The following is a 16,926-nucleotide window of genomic DNA, read 5'->3' on the forward strand; positions in this document are numbered from 1 at the left end:
CATCTTGAAGCTCCACCTCCCTCCGTGGAAGTCGGCTCAAGGAGGTCCTGAGGACAGGACTCCTAGGGGTTTGGCCCTGGGACAGGACAAGACACCCGCGGCCCCCTCTCCCACGCCGCCCCAAACTGGACCCCGGATCCAGCCGCCGCCGTGGCGGCAGGAGGAACCTCGCTGCCGCCGCGCGGCGGTGGCGGTATTTAAAGGGGACGCAGCCATACTGCCAGGAGCGGAGCGCGAGTCGGCTCAGCCAATGCGCATGCGCGAGGCGGGAGCGGTTTCTCCCGTCACAGTGGTTCCCATGGTTGTCTTAGAAACCAGTCCCCGAGGCTTGGCAAAGCAGGAGCCCTCTGTGGCAGTGCTTGGGTGTCGGGGCTCTGAGGATCCGGCCTCACCTCTCCACGGGGTCGACGGGAACGTCTCCGGATGCCAGGAGTCGCAAAGGGCCGACCACGATGAGGAAACCCCAGGCTGGGACGGGGGAAGCAGCACGGGATCCCAGCCTCAGGCCTGCCCGGACGGTGTTGGTTGGGGTGAGTCTCCCCAAAAGTCGTGCCGCCATCCGTGATCTCGAGGACAGGTCGGCCTGCGTGCCCCTGGGCTGCTCTCTCACCCGAGGGTCGTTCTCGTCGTGAGCAGAACCCCGCAGCCTCAGGGGTTGCCTGGTGGTGTGTGTTTCAATGCCTCTGCTGTATGACGCTGTGTGTGTGTCTCTGTGTGTGTGTGTGTGTGTGTGTGAGTGTGTGTGTGTGTGTCTGTGTGTGTGTCTCCCAGTCTCTCTTCTCTCTCTGTCTCTCAGTCTCTGTGTGTTTCTTTCCCTCTCTCTGTGGGTTTGTGTGTGTATGCCCGTGTGCGTGTGTGTCTTTGGCCGAATGTGCCCTGTGCGCCACAAAGCGGTTTGTCGCATGGCGGCCTGTCTTTGGTGAGCCTCTTTCTGCGTCTCTACCTGGGTCATGAGGCCGGCTGTCAATCGTTTTCGCCGCGGCGGATCCGCTTTGGGTGCCTGAAAGCCTGGCCCACGTGAGGAGATGCGTCGCTCCCGGAGCAACTGAAATCTCATCCCCATCCTGAGTGGCCTCTTTTCTAGGATCAAGATGAGTACACTGCAGCCGAGAACAAGAGCCCCAGAGGAACTCTTTGTCCCACAGGAGAGCAGCGGATCCACGCCAGAGAAGATGCTTGTATCTTTTCACGGCTCTTCTCTGAGAAATGAAGCCACACCACGATACAGTCAGCAAGAGGAAGCCGGGAATGGGAGATGGCAACAGTCCCTGTCACTGGAACGCTGGCCTCCCTGGACAAGCCACCCTTTAGGAACCCCACCCCTTATGTCTGTGGCGGTGGCACGGTGCTGTATCCTGCCTGGGCTCTGGCCTCTACTCTCTCCTCCCTCTGGCTCTGCCTCCCCTGTTTCTCAGGGGCCTGGATGCCTCTCGCTCTGGCCAAATGCCTTCAAAAAAGATGACTTCCCAGTCCGTCAGGGAGACACTTCCTGGAGATCCGTGTCATGATCGTTTCTCTCTCCAAACGTGTTTCTGCTTAATTGGGCAGGTATCATGAGCCGAGAGCTCTTGGCTTCCATACGTGTCTCAGGCAGGGAAGCTTCCTTCTTCCCCACGTTTCCCCTCATGGGTGGGTGGATTGCCTAGAATGAGCGCTAGGCGACCGTGACTGGCCTTGACTTCCAGGACAGGTGGTGTCCCATTTCCTTTGCACTTCCTGTCTCATTCTTGAGGGACATCCTCTCCTCTGCTCCTGGGTGGCCTGACTCCCTTGATCTTCTGGACGAAACAAATGTCAGGAAACCAAAGGGACTGGGCTGGGGCTGGGGCTGGGGATGGGGCTGGGGCTGGGTGCAGCCGAAGTTGCGTCAGGGCTACCAGGGCGATGGAGGCTTGGGGGTGGGGCAATTTTTGCCAAAACCTCTTTGCTCCTCTGGTAGGCATGTGAAAACGTGGCTTGGGTCAGGCACAGCCCCCCATCTCGACCCGCACCCCCCGAGCCCCAGGTGTTCTTCGACTTTCCTTGGCATTGATGGAAAGGTCACTCGTTTCCCCCTTCCACCAGCACATGCCTGGACACCACCCTTTGTTTCGCCGTCGCCCCGTATGCCTCCGGCGACACACATCCACACCATCTGCTGTGGGGTAGGCCAGTGCCACGCGTGGTCACACGGTCTCCACCTCGGATTCGCCCCTGTTCCTGGTGGCACGTGTCCTGTAAAGCGCGGTCGGCTTTCCGGAGCCCCTGGGCTTTTAGAAGCGGGGCAAGCCACTGATATTTCAAAGGAGGTGGGAGGCAGAGGGCTGATGGATCAGTGAATTTGCAGCTGACGCTAGGCCTTGAGACCTATGGGATCATTGTGTGCTGCAGCGAGGCCCTGCCGGCCTCTCCAGATGTGGTGAGCCCATCCTATCTCAGTGGGAGGGGGCCAGAATCGGATCTCAACGGGAGTCCGGAGAACACAGCAGGCGTCCTGAAGCTCCCCCTCCCTCGGTGGAAGTCGGCTCAAGCAGATCCTGAGGACAGGACCCCTGGGGGTTTGGGCCTGGGACAGGACGAGACACCCGCGGCCCCCTCTCCCACGCCGCCCCAAACAGGACCCAGGATCCAGCCGCCGCCGCGGCGGCAGCGATATTTAAAGGGGACGCAGCCTATCTGTCAGGAGCGGAGCGCGAGTCGGCTCAGCCAATGCGCATGCGCGAGGCGCGAGCGGTTTCTCCCGTCACAGTGGTTCCCACGGTTGTCTTAGAAACCAGACCCCGAGGCTTGGCAGAGCAGGAGCCCTCGGTGGCAGTGCTTGGGTGTCGAGGCTCTGAGGCTCCGGCCTCACCTCTCCACGGGGTCGAAGGGAACGTCTCCGGATGCCAGGAGTCGCAAAGGGCCGACCATGATGATGAAACCCCAGGCAGAGACGGGGGAAGCAGCACGGGATCCCAGCCTCAGGCCTGCACGGACGGTGTTGGTTGGGGTGAGTCTCCCTAAAAGTCGTGCCGCCGTCCGTGATCTCGAGGACGGGTCGGCCTGCGTGCCCCTGGGCTGCTCTCTCACCCGAGGGTCGTTCTCCTCCAGAGCAGAACCCCGCAGCCTCAGGGGTTGCCTGGGGGTGTGTGTTTCAATGCCTCTGCTGTATGACTCTGCGTGTGTGTGTGTGTGTCTCCCATTCTCTCTTCTCTCTCTGTCTCTCAGTCTCTGTGTGTTTCTTTCCCACTCTCTGTGGGTTTGTGCCAGCCGAAGTTGCGTCAGGGCTACCAGGTCGGTGGAGGATTGGGGGTGTTGCGAATTTTGCAGAAACCTCTTTGCTCCTCCGGTAGACATTTGAAAACGTGGCTTGGGTCAGGCACAGGCGGCCCCCCACCCCCGGGTCCCAGGTGTTCTTTGATTTTCCTTGGCATTGATGGAAAGGTCACCCGTTTCCCCCTTCCACTGGCACATGCCTGGACCCCACCCTTTGTTTCGCCGTCGCCCCGTATGCCTCCGGTGAGACGCATTCACACCAACTGCTGTGGGATTGGCCAGTGCCACGCGTGGTCACATGGTCTCCCCCTCGGATTCGCCTGTTTTCCTCTTTGCAGGTGTGGTGTAAAGCGTGGTCGGCTTTCTGGAACCCCAGGGCCTTTAGCAGTGGGGCAGGCCACTGCTCTTTCAAAGGAGGAGGGAGGCAGAGGGCTGATGGATCAGTGAATTTTCAGCTGTCTCTAGGCCTTGAGAATTATGAGATCATTCTGTGCTGCAGCGAGGCCCTGCCGGCCTCACCAGTTTTTGTGAGCCCATCCTATCTCACTCGGAGGGGGCCAAAATCGGATCTCAACGGGAGTCCGGAGAACACAGCAGGAGTCCTGAAGCTCCCCCTCCATCCCTCCATCGGTGGAAGTGGGCTCAAGCAGGTCCTGAGGACAGGACCCCTGGGGGTTTGGGCCTGGGAAAGGACGAGACTCCTGCGGCCCCCTCTCCCACGCCACCCCAAACAGGACCCAGGATCCAGCTGCCGCCATGGCGGCAGCAGGAGCATCGCGGCCGCCAGGCGACAGTGGCGATATTTAAAGGGGACGTAGCCTGACTGCCAGGAGCTGAGCGCGAGTCGTCCCAGCCAATGCGCATGCGCGAGGCTCTAGTGGCTTCTCCCTTCACAGTGGTTCCTTCGGTTGTCTTAGAAACCAGTCCCCGAGGCTTGGCAAAGCAGGAGCCCTCCGTGGCAGTGCTTGGGTGTCGGGGCTGTGAGGCTCCGGCCTGACCTCTCCACGGGGTCGACGTGAACGTCTCCGGATTCCAGGAGTCACAAAGGGCCGACCAGGATGAGGAAGCCCCAGGGGGGTACGGCGGAAGCAGCACAGGATCCCAGCCTCAGGCCTGCCCGGATGGTGTTGGTTGGGTGGGTCTCCCCAAAAGTCGTGCCGCCATCCGAGATCTCGAGGACAGGTCGGCCTGCGTGACCCTGGGCTGCTCTCTCACCCGAGGGTCGTTCTTGTCGTGAGGAGTACTCCGCAGCCTCAGGGATTGCCTGGTGGTGTGTGTTTCAATTCCTCTGCTGTATGACTCTGTGTGTGTGTGTATGTGTGTGTCTCCCATTCTCTCTTCTCTCTCCCTCTCTCAGTCTCTGTGTGCTTCTTTCCCTCTCTCTGTGGGTTTGTGTGTGCATGCCCGTGTGCGTGTGTGTTTTTGGCTGGAGGTGCCCTGTGTGCCACAAAGCGGTTTTTCGCATGGCGGCCTGTCTTTGTTGAGCCTCTTTCTGCTCTCTGCCTGGGTCATGAGGCCGGTTGTCAATCGTTTTTGCTGCTGTGGATCCGCTTTGGCTCTGTGAAGGCCTGGCCCACGTGAGGAGATGCGTCGGAGCAATTGAAGTCTCATCCCCATCCTGAGCGGCCTCTTTTCTAGCATCAAAACGAACACACTGCAGACGAGGAGAAGAATCCCACAGGAGCTCTTTGTCCTACAGGAGAGCAGCGGACCCACGTCAGAGAAGATGCTTGAGTCTTTTCACGGCTCTTCTCTGAGAAATGAAGCCACACCACGATACAGTCAGCAAGAGGAAACCGGGAATGAGAGATGGCAACAATCCCTGTCCCTAGAACGCTGGCCTCCCTGGACAAGCCACCCTTTTGGAACCCCACCCCTTATGCCCTTGGCGGTGGCACGGTGCTGTATCCTGCCTGGGCTCCGGCCTCTGCTCTGTCCTCCGTCTTGCTCTGCCTCCCCTGTTTCTCAGGGGCCTGGATGCCTCTAGCTCTGGCCAAATGCCTTCAACAAAGATGGCTTCCCAGTCCGTCAGGGAGACATTTCTTCGAGATCCGTGTCGTGATTGTTTCTCTCTCCAAACCTGTTTCTGCTTGATTGGGCTGGTCTCATGACCCGGGAACTCTTGGCTTCCTTAGGTGTCTCAGGCAGGGAAGCTTCCTTCTTCTCCACGTTTCCCCTCATGGGTGGTTGGATTGCCTAGAATGAGCGCTAGGCGAACGTGACTGGCCTTGACTTCCAGGACAGGTGGTGTCGCATTTCCTCTGCACTTCCTGTCTCATTCTTGAGGGACATCCTCTCCTCTGCTCCTGGGTGAACTGAAGCCCTTGATCATCTGGCAGAAAAGAATGTCAGGGAACCCAAGGGACTGGTCTAGGGTTGGGGGCTGGTCCTGGGGCTCGGTGCAGCCAAAGTTGTGTCAGGGCTGCCAGGGCCTTGGACGGTTTGGGGTGGGGCGAATTTTGCAGAAACCTCTATGCTCCTCTGGTAGGCATTTGAAAACGTAGCTTGGGTCCGGCACAGGCCCCCCCTCCCCACACCCCGCGTGTCCCACGTGTTTTTCGATTTTCCTTGGTATTGATGGAAAGGTCACCCGTTTCCCCCTTCCACCGGCATGTTCCTGGACACCACCCTTTGTTTCGCCGTCTCCCCGTATGCCTCCAGTGACACGCATTAACACCAACTGCTGTGGGATAGGCCAGTGCCACGCGTAGTCATATGGTCTCCGCCTCGGATTTGCCCCTGTTCCTCTTTGCAGGTGTCCTGTAAAGCACTGTCGGCTTTCCGGAGCCCCAGGGCTTTTAGAAGCAGGGCAGGCCACTGCTCTTTCTAAGGAGGAGGGCATTGAAAAACACACCCCCAAGCAATCCCTGAGGCTGTGATGTTCTGCTCTCTACGAGAAGGACCCTCGGGTGAGAGAGCAGCCCAGGGGCATGCAGGCTGACCTGTCGTAGAGATCACTGACGGAGGCATGACTTTTGGGGAGACTCACCCCAACCAACACCGTCCGGTCAGGCCTGAGGCTGGGATCCCGTGCTGCTTCCCCCGTCTCCGCTGGGCTTTCCTCATGGTAGTCGGCCTTTTGCGACTCCTGGCATCTGGGGACATTCCCGTTGACCCCAAGAAGACGTTAGGCCGGAGCCTCAGAGCCCCGAAACCCAAGTACTGCCACGGAGGGCTCCTTCTTCGCCAAGCCTCGGTGACTGGTTTCTAAGACAACCGTGGGAACCACTGTGACTGGAGAAGCCGCTCCCGCCTCGCGCATGTGCATTGGCTGAGCCGACTCGCGCTCCGCTCCTGGCAGTCAGGCTGGGTCCCCTTTAAATACTGCCACATCTGAGCGTGGCAGCAGCGAGGCTCCTGCTAGCCCCGCGGCGGCGGCTAGATCCGGGGTCCAGTTTGGGGCGGCGTGGGAGAGGGGGCCGTGGGTGTCTTCTCCTGTCCCAGGGCCAAACCCCGAGGAGTCCTCACCTCAGGACCTGCTTGAGCCGACTTCCACTGAGGGAGGGGGAGCTTCAGGACGCCTGCTGTGTTCTCCGTCCTCCTGTTCAGATCCAATTTTGGCCCCCTTCGAGTGAAATAGGATGGGCTCACCACATCTGGTGAGGCAGGCAGGGCCTCGCTGCAGTGCAGAATGATCCCATAGGTCTCAAGGCCTAGTGTCAGCTGCAAATTCACTTATCCATCAGCCCTCTGCCTCCCTCCTCCTTTGAAAGAGCAGTGGCCTGCCCCGCTTCTAAAAGCCCTGGGGTTCCGGAAAGCCCACCGCGCTTTACAGGACACCTGCATAGAGGAACAGGGGCGAATCCGAGGTGGAGACCATGTGACCACGCGTGGCACTGGCCTATCCCACAGCAGTTGGTGTTAATGTGTGTCACCGGAGGCATACGGGGCGACGGCGAAACAAAGGGTGGTGTCCAGGCATGTGCCGGTTGAATGGGGAAACAGTTGACCTTTCCATCAATGCCAGGGAAAATCGAAGAACACCTAGGACCCGGGGGGTGGGGGTCCTGTGCCTGACCCAAGCCACGTTTTCACATGCCTACCAGAGGAGCAAAGAGGTTTCTGCAAAATTCGCCCCACCCCCAACCCTCCACCGCCCTGGTAGCCCTGACGCAACTTAGGCTGCGCCCAGCCACAGCCCCAGCCCCAGCCCCAGCCCCAGCCCAGTCCCTTTGGTTCCCTTACATTCGTTTCAGCCAGAAGATCAAGGGAGTCAGTCCACCCAGGAGCAGAGGAGAGGATGTCCCTCATGAATGAGACAGGAAGTGCAGAGGAAATGCGACACTACCTTTCCTGGAAGACAAGGCCAGTCATGGTCGCCTAGCGCTCATTCTAGGCAATCCACCCACCATGAGGGGAAACGTGGAGAAGAAGGAAGCTTCCCTGCCTGAGACACGAATGGAAGCCAGGAGCTCCCAGGTCATGCGACCTGCCCAATCAAGCAGAAACAGGTTTGGAGAGAGAAACAATCACGACACGGATCTCGAAGAAATGTCTCCCTGACGGACTGGGAAGTCATCTTTGTTGAAGACATTGGGCGTCAGCGAGAGGCATTGAGGCACTTGAGAAACAGGTGAGGCAGAGCAGGAGGGAGGACAGGGCAGACGCCGGCGGCCAGGCGGGATATATCACCGTTCCACTGCCAGGGTCATAAGGGATGGGGTTCCAAAAGGGTGGCTTGTCCAGAGAGGCCAGCATTCCAGTGACAGGGACTGTTGCCATCTCCCATTCCCGGCTTCCTCTTCCAGACCGTATTGTGGTGTGGCTTCATTTCTCAGAGAAGAGCCGTGAAAAGATACAAGCATCTTCTCTGACGTGGGTCCGCTGGTCTCCGGCGGGACAAAGAGCTCCTGTGGGGCTCGTGTCCTCGTCTGCAGTGTGTTCATCTTGATCCTAGAAAAGAGACCGCTCAGGATGGGGATATTTCAATTGCTCCGGGACCGAAGAATCTCCTCACGTGGGCCAGGCCTTCACACACCCAAAGCGGAAACGCGTCGGCGAAAAGGATTGACAACCGGTCTCATGACCCAGGCAGAGAGGCAGAAACAGGCTCACCAAAGACAGGCCGCCATGCGAGAAACAGCTTTGTGGTGCACAGGGCACATTCGGCCAAGGACACACACGCACACGGGCACACACACACAAACTGACAGAGAGAGGGAAAGAAACACACAGAGACTGAGAGACAGAGAGAGAAGAGAGAATGGGAGACACACACACACATACACACACAGACACACACACAGAGTCTTATAGCAAAGGCATTGAAAGACACACACCCAGGCAACCCCTGAGGCTGTGGGGTTCTGCTTTCGACGAGAACGACCCTTCGGTGAGAGAGCACCCCAGGGGCACGCAGGCCGTCCTGTCCTCGAGATCACCGCGTCACGACTTTTGGGGAGACTCACCCCCACCAACACCGTCCAGAGAGGCCTGAGGGAGGGATTCCATGCTGCCTTCTCCGGACTCTGCGTCGGGTTTCCTCACCCTGTTCGGCCCTTTGTGACTCTTGGCATCCGGAGACTTTCCCCTCGACCCAGTGGAGCCGTCAGGCCGGAGCCTCAGAGCCTTGACACCCAAGCACTGCCACGGAAGTCTCCCCCTTTGCCAAGCCTCGGGGACTGGTTTCTAAGACAACCGTGGGAACCACTGTGACGGGAGAAACCGCTTGTGCTTCGCGCATGCGCATTGGCTGGGCCGACTCGTTCTCCCCTCCTGGCAGTCAGGCTGCGTCCCCTTTAAAGAACGCCACCGCTGAGAACTGACCCTCACATCTCCCTTCCTGAATTTCTTTAGGGAAAGCAACAACCATCCCTGTAAGCCATGGGTTTTCATGCGGAGGAAGGAGAGGGCTAGTTGTCTGAGAGGGTAACTGCTTAAGGCTGCAGACTAGGAAATGGGATTCCAGGTTTAAGATAGCTCCTTTCTGGACCTCAGTCCTTCACCTAGTCACCTAGTCACAGGGTGGATTGCCTCTAAGGATACTTAGGGGAAAAGGAACTAAATTTGGGATGGTTCTCCTTGCTTTAAGCCTTGATAGGAGACGGGGAGGCCAACCCTTCTCTGCAGACCGTGATCCTCACTAGACAGAGGAGCTCCAAACCTGCCCATCTCATCCCATGCACCGACGGTGCCTGGCCTGGCTCCAAACTCCCGAAAGGAACTATTTTACAGGTGCCAAAAAGGGGACAGTGTTGATAATAATAATAAAATGAAACAATCTGATTGGGGCATTGCTGGATCAGAAAATGTGTGACCTTTTTAAAGTTAAATTGTTAAAAAATTTTAACTATTAAACATTTTAAATATTAAGCCTGATCTGTTTGGTAGCCCTGGAGCAGGGCTGAGGCGTAGAGAGAAACCTTTCCTTCAGCCAGGTTGTCTGTGTCACACTGATTTATTTTTATTTTATTTGTGGATTTCTTAATGGACCCAACGGTGGTTCCTCTTTGCATCCCTCGGGTTGACAGGCAATTCCATCCTAGCCCAGTTCTCAGCTCTGGTTTAGTTTTCATAACTTTTGGGGGTCCAGGGAGCCATGAGACTGGAGATAGAAAGCAGAAGTGCACTGGGGCGGTGGGTCTGCCTTGGCTTACCCCCAAATTTCTGGATTCCAGGTGCCTTGCTCCAGTCCCTGCCCCATCCTAGACTCAGGATGCTCTCCCACGCTACTAACCACTGGTCCGGTCAAAGCCCAAGCTGCTGCCAGCCACCATGTTATCTCCTAGCCTGGCTAGGGTGCCTGCTAGCCAGCAGTGGCTATGGTGGTGTGCAGAGTGAGGGTGAGTTTTTGTATTGACTGCCATTCCGTTTACCTCAAGAAGTATGTTTGGGCAACCATTCTGTGCCAGGCAGCAGACAGAGTCCCTGCACTGCAGGAATTCCTAGTCCTGTGGGCAGGGGTGTGTGGAGGATGGCACATGGTGGTTAGCCTGGTCCAGGGGTCTCCACTCCCTTCCTAGCATCCTAGAGATCCTGGAGGCTAGGTTGGCCACAGAGACTGAGTTCAGGACAATTCCTTCACGCAGTTAATGAAGTTATCTGTAACTTCCTGGTTAAAACACACACACACACACACACACACACACACACACACACACACACAAACACAAAAACTGGCAGTCGTGGGAGGTATTTCCCCACTGGGCTGGTTGGTAGCAGGGGAAGAACTGTGGACCCCTCGCCGAGTGGCGCCTGGAAGGAGGCTGACGTAAGAGTGGTGTAGCTGTGAGTAGGAGAAGTGAGATCTAGTGGGGTAAGTCCATGTTCCCTGTTCCTAAAGTCAAATTCTCCCTGAAAAGACCCAGGGCAGCACTGTTAGGGAGCTGAAGGAGTCCCTCTGTACCCAGAGGGAATTAGGCCACTCAGGCCTCAGAGAAGGAGGGCGGGTGGTGAGGACAACCTCCCCAAGCCCCCATCAGAGCAGGCCCAATACTTGGAAATTCACTCCTCAGTCCACCAGATTCTGGTCCCATCCTACATCCCCACCAGGGCACAGGAGGCCCACATAAAAACAAGCTTTATTTGGCCAAATTAACTCACTTTCCTGGATTACCTTACTTGTTGGAAAGCGAAAGTACACCCCACGCTCCTCGCCCTGTCCCTGCCTAAACCTCTTTATCTCTGAAGCCCACTCTTTGAGACCTAAAAATTAGGGTTCAAGAGAAACGCTCTAGGACTACAGGAGTGACACGACAGTCCCTATCCTACAGTGCACTAAAAGCCAAACTGAAGTCTGCTTCCTCGGTGGAGAGTGTCTCAGGGTGAGGTGGCAGGACTGTTAGCCGCTTCTCATTTTACAAGCTCCTTGTCCACAGTCATCTGCACCAGCCCCTCACAAAACTGGTTCTCGCCTTCTGGTGGGTGCTGGTGTTTACCCCTTTCCTCCCACTATCTGTTCAAACCGAGCCCACCCACCCTCCATTCACCTCCCCTCCTTAAGGCTCCCTGAGCTCTATTTACCCTTTTGTAACTCCATCCCTCCATAAGTACACAACTCTTCTAGCTGGTTTCCTAGAGGGTAGATACAGTGTTTCCAGTTGGCCCTCTGCAGATATCTGTGAATAAGTCTCTCCCAGCCCCTACATATAAATGTGTCTGTTCTAGAGAGACGGGCCTAAGTCCCAACGTAAACACATCACTAGATAATTACACCTTATATACATACAGATCTCTCTATAGAGTTATATTTGAAAGTGTCTATAACTCTAGAGAGAGATTGCAGCATGCACATATAGGACTATAATTACTTATGTCTATTTTTATAACTATGCAGTTATAAATAGATATGCCTATATATAGTGATAATAATATAGAAATATCTCCATAGCCATATATGGCTCTAAGTGAATGCTCTAACTACTCTATTTCGCAATCAATAAGTATATATCTCCTGATACATAATTCTAACAATATACGTTTTAATCTATATAGCTCTTCAGAGATATAAATCTGTCAGGATATCAAATGTACATAAAGCCGGATGGCTGTAAGGGAGTCGCATATTTTCCCATATATAAATCTGCTCCTATAACTACTGTATATGCACAAATACAATGGAAATAATTATATTTCCCTCAAACGTAAATCTGTAAATACAACCACAGCACATTTAGGTACCATTAGACATAGAGCAATATTTCCTAGACATCAGTCTGTCAGTAGAGCCACCAGTGCCTCCAAACAGAGAGTTATAGAGGGAGTTATAAATAAACTCTCCAGATGTGAACGGATCAGTAGAACTAGATGTAAACATGACTCCAAGCCGTTCCTCCTCCTTCTTCTTCTTTGTAAGATATTCCTGAAGCAAGCCCAGTCATATAACAGGGTGCAGAGGTGTCTGGGTACTGGTATTTTTTTCCCCAAGGAGGGTCGGAGGTCGCTGGACTTTGGGAAACTGTGCAGGAGTGGGTAGGGGACAATGCCCGCTCCCAACACAGCCCAGAAGCCCCTTCCGTCTGTCTCCTGGTGGCTGAGAGCTCGGGCAAGTGGAGAGGCCTAAGGGAGAAAAATGAAAAAGCAGAGTCTGGCTTGAGTCGTTCGGCCCTTCGGCCTAAAACCCTCTCAACAGGGAAGCCCCGAACAGGCGTCGGAGCGGAGAGAGCCCACGAGGCCCAGAGGCTGGGGGAAAGGGGCTGCAGGCCGGGCTGCGGAGGCCGAGCAGAGTCGCCAGCCGGTGCCTGACCGCCCGGCGCCCCATCTCCCGGGGCCGCTGCCTCGCCGGCAGCCTGGAACACAAAACCTGGGCCCTAGCCCTGCGCCCTGTGCTCAGCACTTCCACTGGTCTTATTTTATTGCTGTTTTGTCCAATTAGGTATCGCAGCGTCCTCCACCCGGTGTTGTTTTCAAATGCGAGGGCACCCAGGGCTTTCTGAATGCGTGTGTGTGTGTGTGTGTGTGTGTGTGCTGGCTTTAAATAAGTGACTCAGTGGATAGTGTATTTCTCTTTTCAGACCAAATGGGTCACCGGCTACTGAAAAAGAATCCAGACCTCTGAAAGGGTTCGTGACAAATTTTTTAGAAGTTCTCACGCTCATCTGTTACGATGATTTTCTTTTCTTTTTTCTGTTTTAAAAAAGTTGGCTAATTTGTGTTTCTATATTCCTCTTTAATTTTATTTTTATTGGGGGTACAAATGTTTTTAAAGGAGGGATTTCGTTAGACCCGAAACTGTGGGGTGGCTTCCTCTCTAGCAAACTTACTATCTCTACGCCTGTGATTCCCATCTCCCCCAAGAAAACAAACGAATTAAATGACCAGAAAACTGTACCTGGAGAAAATGAGGTATATGTTGCAGGATCCGGGACCGCGGCCCTTGCTTGCTTCATGAAAAATCGGCTGGTCTCCAAACTCGCGAAGGAAAATTCAAGGCGCCTCAACTCCTCCTTTTAAATTTTTTAATAAAGAGCCTAGAAAGGGAACTTTCCCTGGGCCTGCCGGAGCCCCAGCCTGGCTCTCCCAACTTCCCAGCGGCCATAAGTGTTTTTCTGCTTCCATTCGGGCCCCCCGTCTTCCCGGGCATCTCTGAGCTCCTGCCGGATCAAGGCTGTGGTCATCACCTCATTCATCTCTGCTGCTTGGCCTGAGCCTGCACATTTGGCCTCCTTCTTAAAACAGGGGCTCCTAGAGAGTCCCAAAATCCATTAACCATTCCCATATGTGGGATCCCTTCCCTGATCACACAAAGCAGAAGCCTGAGAAAAAAAGCAATAAAGAGTGGCCTCCTGGCTCTCCTTCTCCTCTTCCATCCCTTGTCTGGGAAAGGGGTTCCCAACCCCAGCCCCACCAAGAGCATATTAAGAAGCTTTCTTCCTCCCTTCCTTTCCTATCTCCCCCTCAGATGCTGTGATCCTGACTCCTTCTGTCTCCACCTCAAAATATTTCCTCTTGCATTTTATTGTTATTCTGTTATGCAGGGACTGTTAACTACTGTTTTATTATTATTATTCATTATTTATTGTTATTAAGATTGTCGTTAGAGATTTGTTCACCACCGTTCAAGGGACAGCAGCCTGGCCCAGGGGGAAGCCTGCCTCTCCCTGTCTGTCTCTCTCTCACACACACACACACACACACACACATACACACACACACCCTAACACAGTGCACACTCACGCATATATGCTCACAAATGCCTGCTGTGTTCAGGCCCCTGCACAGCAATCCGAAGAGGCAGGCATCCTACCCCAGCACGCAAACAACACACTGCCCACGCACACCAGCATTCAGGCAGAACACCACCCCCAGACCAACGCCAAAACCCACACGCACCGAGCTTGCAAGGAAAGGAAAATACATAAAGAATCCCTTCTCTCCAAAACCTGGAGGGGCGAGTCAGGCCTCTGTCTCTTCCCCCCAGTCGCTTTCGCTTTCTCTTTTTTTTTTCTCCTTGTTTACAGCTTCAGAGAGCTCAAGGCCCATAAATCTTGAGGGGTCTACAGAGCGCAGAGCACATTTGTATGCATCGTTAGGACTCACTAATACATTACTAAGCCCATTAAGGAGAGTGTATGCGCATGGTTTCCGGTGTGTATTAACTTATAGTTAAATTCTGGAGGAAAGGGCATTGTGAATTAACATATACCAAATCCATCATGGGCTTTTGTCATATCAGATTAGTCAGTCATGGGTTTGGGGGAGTAACTTGCCTGGGTCGGGGTGTACCCACCCTTCAAACTTTGTGGAGCAGGCCCGGGGGTCTTGGGAAACACGAAGGCATTCCTATCCAGCCCCAGTCATTCGGATCCCCCAGGCCTAGCGGCTGCACACTTGTGAGATGGCGGAGGGACTGCAGACCCAGGTGCGGGAGGCCAGTGCTAGCGAAGAGAGGTGGGCAAGGGAGGCCCCTCCAGCGTCCTGCTGGGGTTGAGTTGGGGTGACTCGTCCCGTGGCCGCTGGGTCGTCTGGTTTCCCCTTTCCGAAAGAAATGAGAGGAGAGGCAAGTGGAGTAGCTGAACTTTGATTAAACCGTAGAGAAGACAGTGGGAGGAGGGAAAAAAAAAAGATCGGAGAAGGAGGAGGAGGTGGCCGAGAGATCGAGGAAAGGAAGTCCTAGAAGCTCCGGGGAATTTGGAAATCTCTCCAAGGGGCTGAAAGCTGGAAGTTGTATGAAGGTGTTCTTTTCTCACACCCCAGCTACTCCGCCCCAGTCGAAGAGGCTAATTCCGGGCCTCTTATAAAAATAAGAAAGAAAAGGTAAAGAAAAAGAAAATCTAATTATGTGGCATGTTTCAGCCAGGTGTTCCTGGTTCCAATGACTCAGACCCTATTGGAGCCCCGAGGATCTGGATAATTGGGCCTGCCTAGACAGAGATGAAGGATGCCATTTCTAAAAGGAGGAAGGGGAGAGGAAAGTCCATCTCTTGGGGTCTTGTAGAAAATGCCAAAGACCAACCAAGCTAAATTATTGTGTCCCTGTAGATCTATTTGCCTATTTACGTACAGCAGGCTGTGGGGGTGGGGGGTGAGGGAAGGCCGGGAATAAACGACCAGGATGGAGCGGGCTGGCAGGAGAGAAAATGCGCCCCCCACTCTTTGCGGGAACAGCCAACGGGCCTCCTCAGCTCGCAGCTCAAGCGGCCGCGCGGCGGGCCTGTCCGGGGCCGGGGGCCGGGGCCGGCCTGGGGGAGGGGAGGCGGGGGCGGGAGGGGAGGCGGAGGCGGGCCCTCCCCGGGCGCTGTGAACTTTAGCTGGGCCGCCGCCTGTCAGCGCCAGAAAGCGTTAAAGGTGCAGCAGCCCGCGCCAGCCTCCGCAGCCGCCTTTGTACGAGTGATTTATGACTTCAGTCTTGGTTCACCAAGAGTTCACACGGCTTTCGCTGCTGTTGAAGGTTAAAAGATGGTCTTCGCTTGACAAGTTGGACTATTGAAAATTCCTTCTTCTTCTTCTTTTTTTTTTATTTTAGAAGCGAAGAGCAGAGGCTCAGGAGAGAAAAACATTGGGGAGGGGGCGGGGGACAGGGGTTGCAGGTGGGCCAAAATGGTAAGTCAGGAAGGTTTGTCTTCCTATATTTAGGATTTTTTGTTGTTAGGATTTGCGTGCGTGTTGGGGAGAGGGTAGAGAATAAGAGGGAGCTAGGCAAGAGATGTAAAGATCTCTCATATTTAGAGGCCAAAGGAGTGAAAAAAAAACTTGCTTCCACAGTTAATTATCTGGGTAACTTGGGTCACACCCCCTAACTGATCCTCCTCTAGAGACCGGAAATGGGCCAGGTAAGGGAGAGAGTTTGGGTAAAGGGTAAGGTTTGTGTGCTTCTCACTGGGTGTACTTGATCATCCACCTTACCTGGGTAACTACTTTTTTTTTTTTTTTTTTTTTTTTTTTGGAAATGGGGTCCAGCTCTGTTTCCCAGGCTGGAGTGTTGTGGCACCATCATAGTTCACTGAAGCCTCAAACTCCTGGGCTCAAGTAGTCCTCCCACCTTAGCCTCTTAAGTATGTGAGACTGCAGGCATGTGCCACACCGCCAGGCTGGGTAGCTGCCTTTCAATGTGCTTCTGCACCCACAGATTTGGAAAAGGGCATTTTTAGGCAGCAGTCTTTCAACTCTCTTCATCCTGTAGGTTTAGCCTGCCATTTACATTTGATGCACATGAAGAGGCTAATGGGAAGGAAATCTATAGAACTGGAATTGGAAGTCCTTTCAAATCCCAAATTCCCTTGGTCTAAGAGCCAGTCTCTCTTCTTTCTAGCATTTTGACAATGGTCGTGCCACAGCAGAGGTGGTGGTCAAAGATCTCCCAAAGACCAGGATCTAAGGCCCCTTTGTGATCTAAGGCTCTGAGTACTTGGAGAGACAAAACTCACTCCTTCTTTGTAGATTCAGAGAGACAGAGAGAGAGAGAGAGAGAGAGAGAGAGAGAGAGAGGGAATGAGGAGATACCTTGAAGCTGAGGGTCTGCTTGGCTTTTCGAGGTTTTTTTTTTAAGATATGTTTTTAAAAAATTTTCTGGAGTGGGAATTGGGATTGTGTGCACTGGGAAGGGGAACAGCAGAGAGCTGGGTCTGGAGTTGGGTGTGCCTCCCTAGCCCTATTAAGGCCCCATCTCCATTACCAATGCTAGGTAAATGTCTTCTTAAGAGATAGAGCCAGCCCCTCAAATCCAGATCTGGGAACCAAAGGCATCCACGCTAGAAGGGGCACTCCCTGCTTCTCTTTCTACATAGCATTAGAGAGGTATTTTCCCACCATGTG

The 16,926-nt window shown here is 54.4% G+C and overlaps 4 long non-coding RNA genes across 11 annotated transcripts, besides 1 other annotated feature; 2 read left to right on the forward strand and 2 right to left on the reverse strand.

Moving 5' to 3' along the window:
* Window positions 1-237: 237 nt before the first annotated feature.
* FAM27C (family with sequence similarity 27 member C) lies at window positions 238-1,494 on the forward strand. The gene is made up of 2 exons (NR_027421.1): window positions 238-530; window positions 1,085-1,494. It is a non-coding gene; the product is annotated as a family with sequence similarity 27 member C (long non-coding RNA).
* Window positions 1,495-1,913: 419 nt separating this feature from the next.
* On the forward strand, window positions 1,914-12,794 carry FAM27E4 (family with sequence similarity 27 member E4). Of its 3 annotated transcripts, XR_001746484.1 has the most exons (3): window positions 2,859-2,968; window positions 7,431-7,807; window positions 7,983-8,074. It is a non-coding gene; the product is annotated as a family with sequence similarity 27 member E4 (long non-coding RNA). The 3 variants fall into 3 exon arrangements; XR_002956849.2 differs by lacking the exons at window positions 7,431-7,807; window positions 7,983-8,074 and adding an exon at window positions 12,687-12,794 and having other exon boundaries at window positions 1,914-2,968; XR_002956848.2 differs by lacking the exons at window positions 7,431-7,807; window positions 7,983-8,074 and adding an exon at window positions 8,132-9,546 and having other exon boundaries at window positions 1,914-2,968.
* On the reverse strand, window positions 7,718-8,769 carry LOC105379807 (uncharacterized). The gene is made up of 2 exons (NR_144466.1): window positions 8,643-8,769; window positions 7,718-8,127 (listed from the first exon to the last, which is right to left on the reverse strand). It is a non-coding gene; the product is annotated as an uncharacterized LOC105379807 (long non-coding RNA).
* Window positions 11,786-15,326, reverse strand: LOC102723678 (uncharacterized). Of its 6 annotated transcripts, none has more exons than XR_007061532.1 (4): window positions 15,176-15,326; window positions 14,402-14,646; window positions 13,004-13,427; window positions 11,786-12,231 (listed from the first exon to the last, which is right to left on the reverse strand). It is a non-coding gene; the product is annotated as an uncharacterized LOC102723678 (long non-coding RNA). The 6 variants fall into 6 exon arrangements; XR_007061533.1 differs by having other exon boundaries at window positions 13,004-13,356; window positions 15,176-15,299; XR_950641.3 differs by having other exon boundaries at window positions 13,004-14,646; window positions 15,176-15,264.
* Window positions 13,365-14,207: an enhancer, noted in NCBI's record as "H3K4me1 hESC enhancer chr9:45003363-45004205 (GRCh37/hg19 assembly coordinates)". NCBI's record gives its function as "activates a minimal SCP1, AML or CMV promoter by ChIP-STARR-seq in primed H9 embryonic stem cells {active_cell/tissue: H9 hESC(primed)}" and the evidence as "EXISTENCE:reporter gene assay evidence [ECO:0000049][PMID:30033119]".
* Window positions 15,327-16,926: the final 1,600 nt, after the last annotated feature.

The sequence above is a fragment of the Homo sapiens genome, chromosome 9, assembly GCF_000001405.40.
Source record: "Homo sapiens chromosome 9, GRCh38.p14 Primary Assembly".
Taxonomy (NCBI): Eukaryota; Metazoa; Chordata; class Mammalia; order Primates; family Hominidae; genus Homo; species Homo sapiens.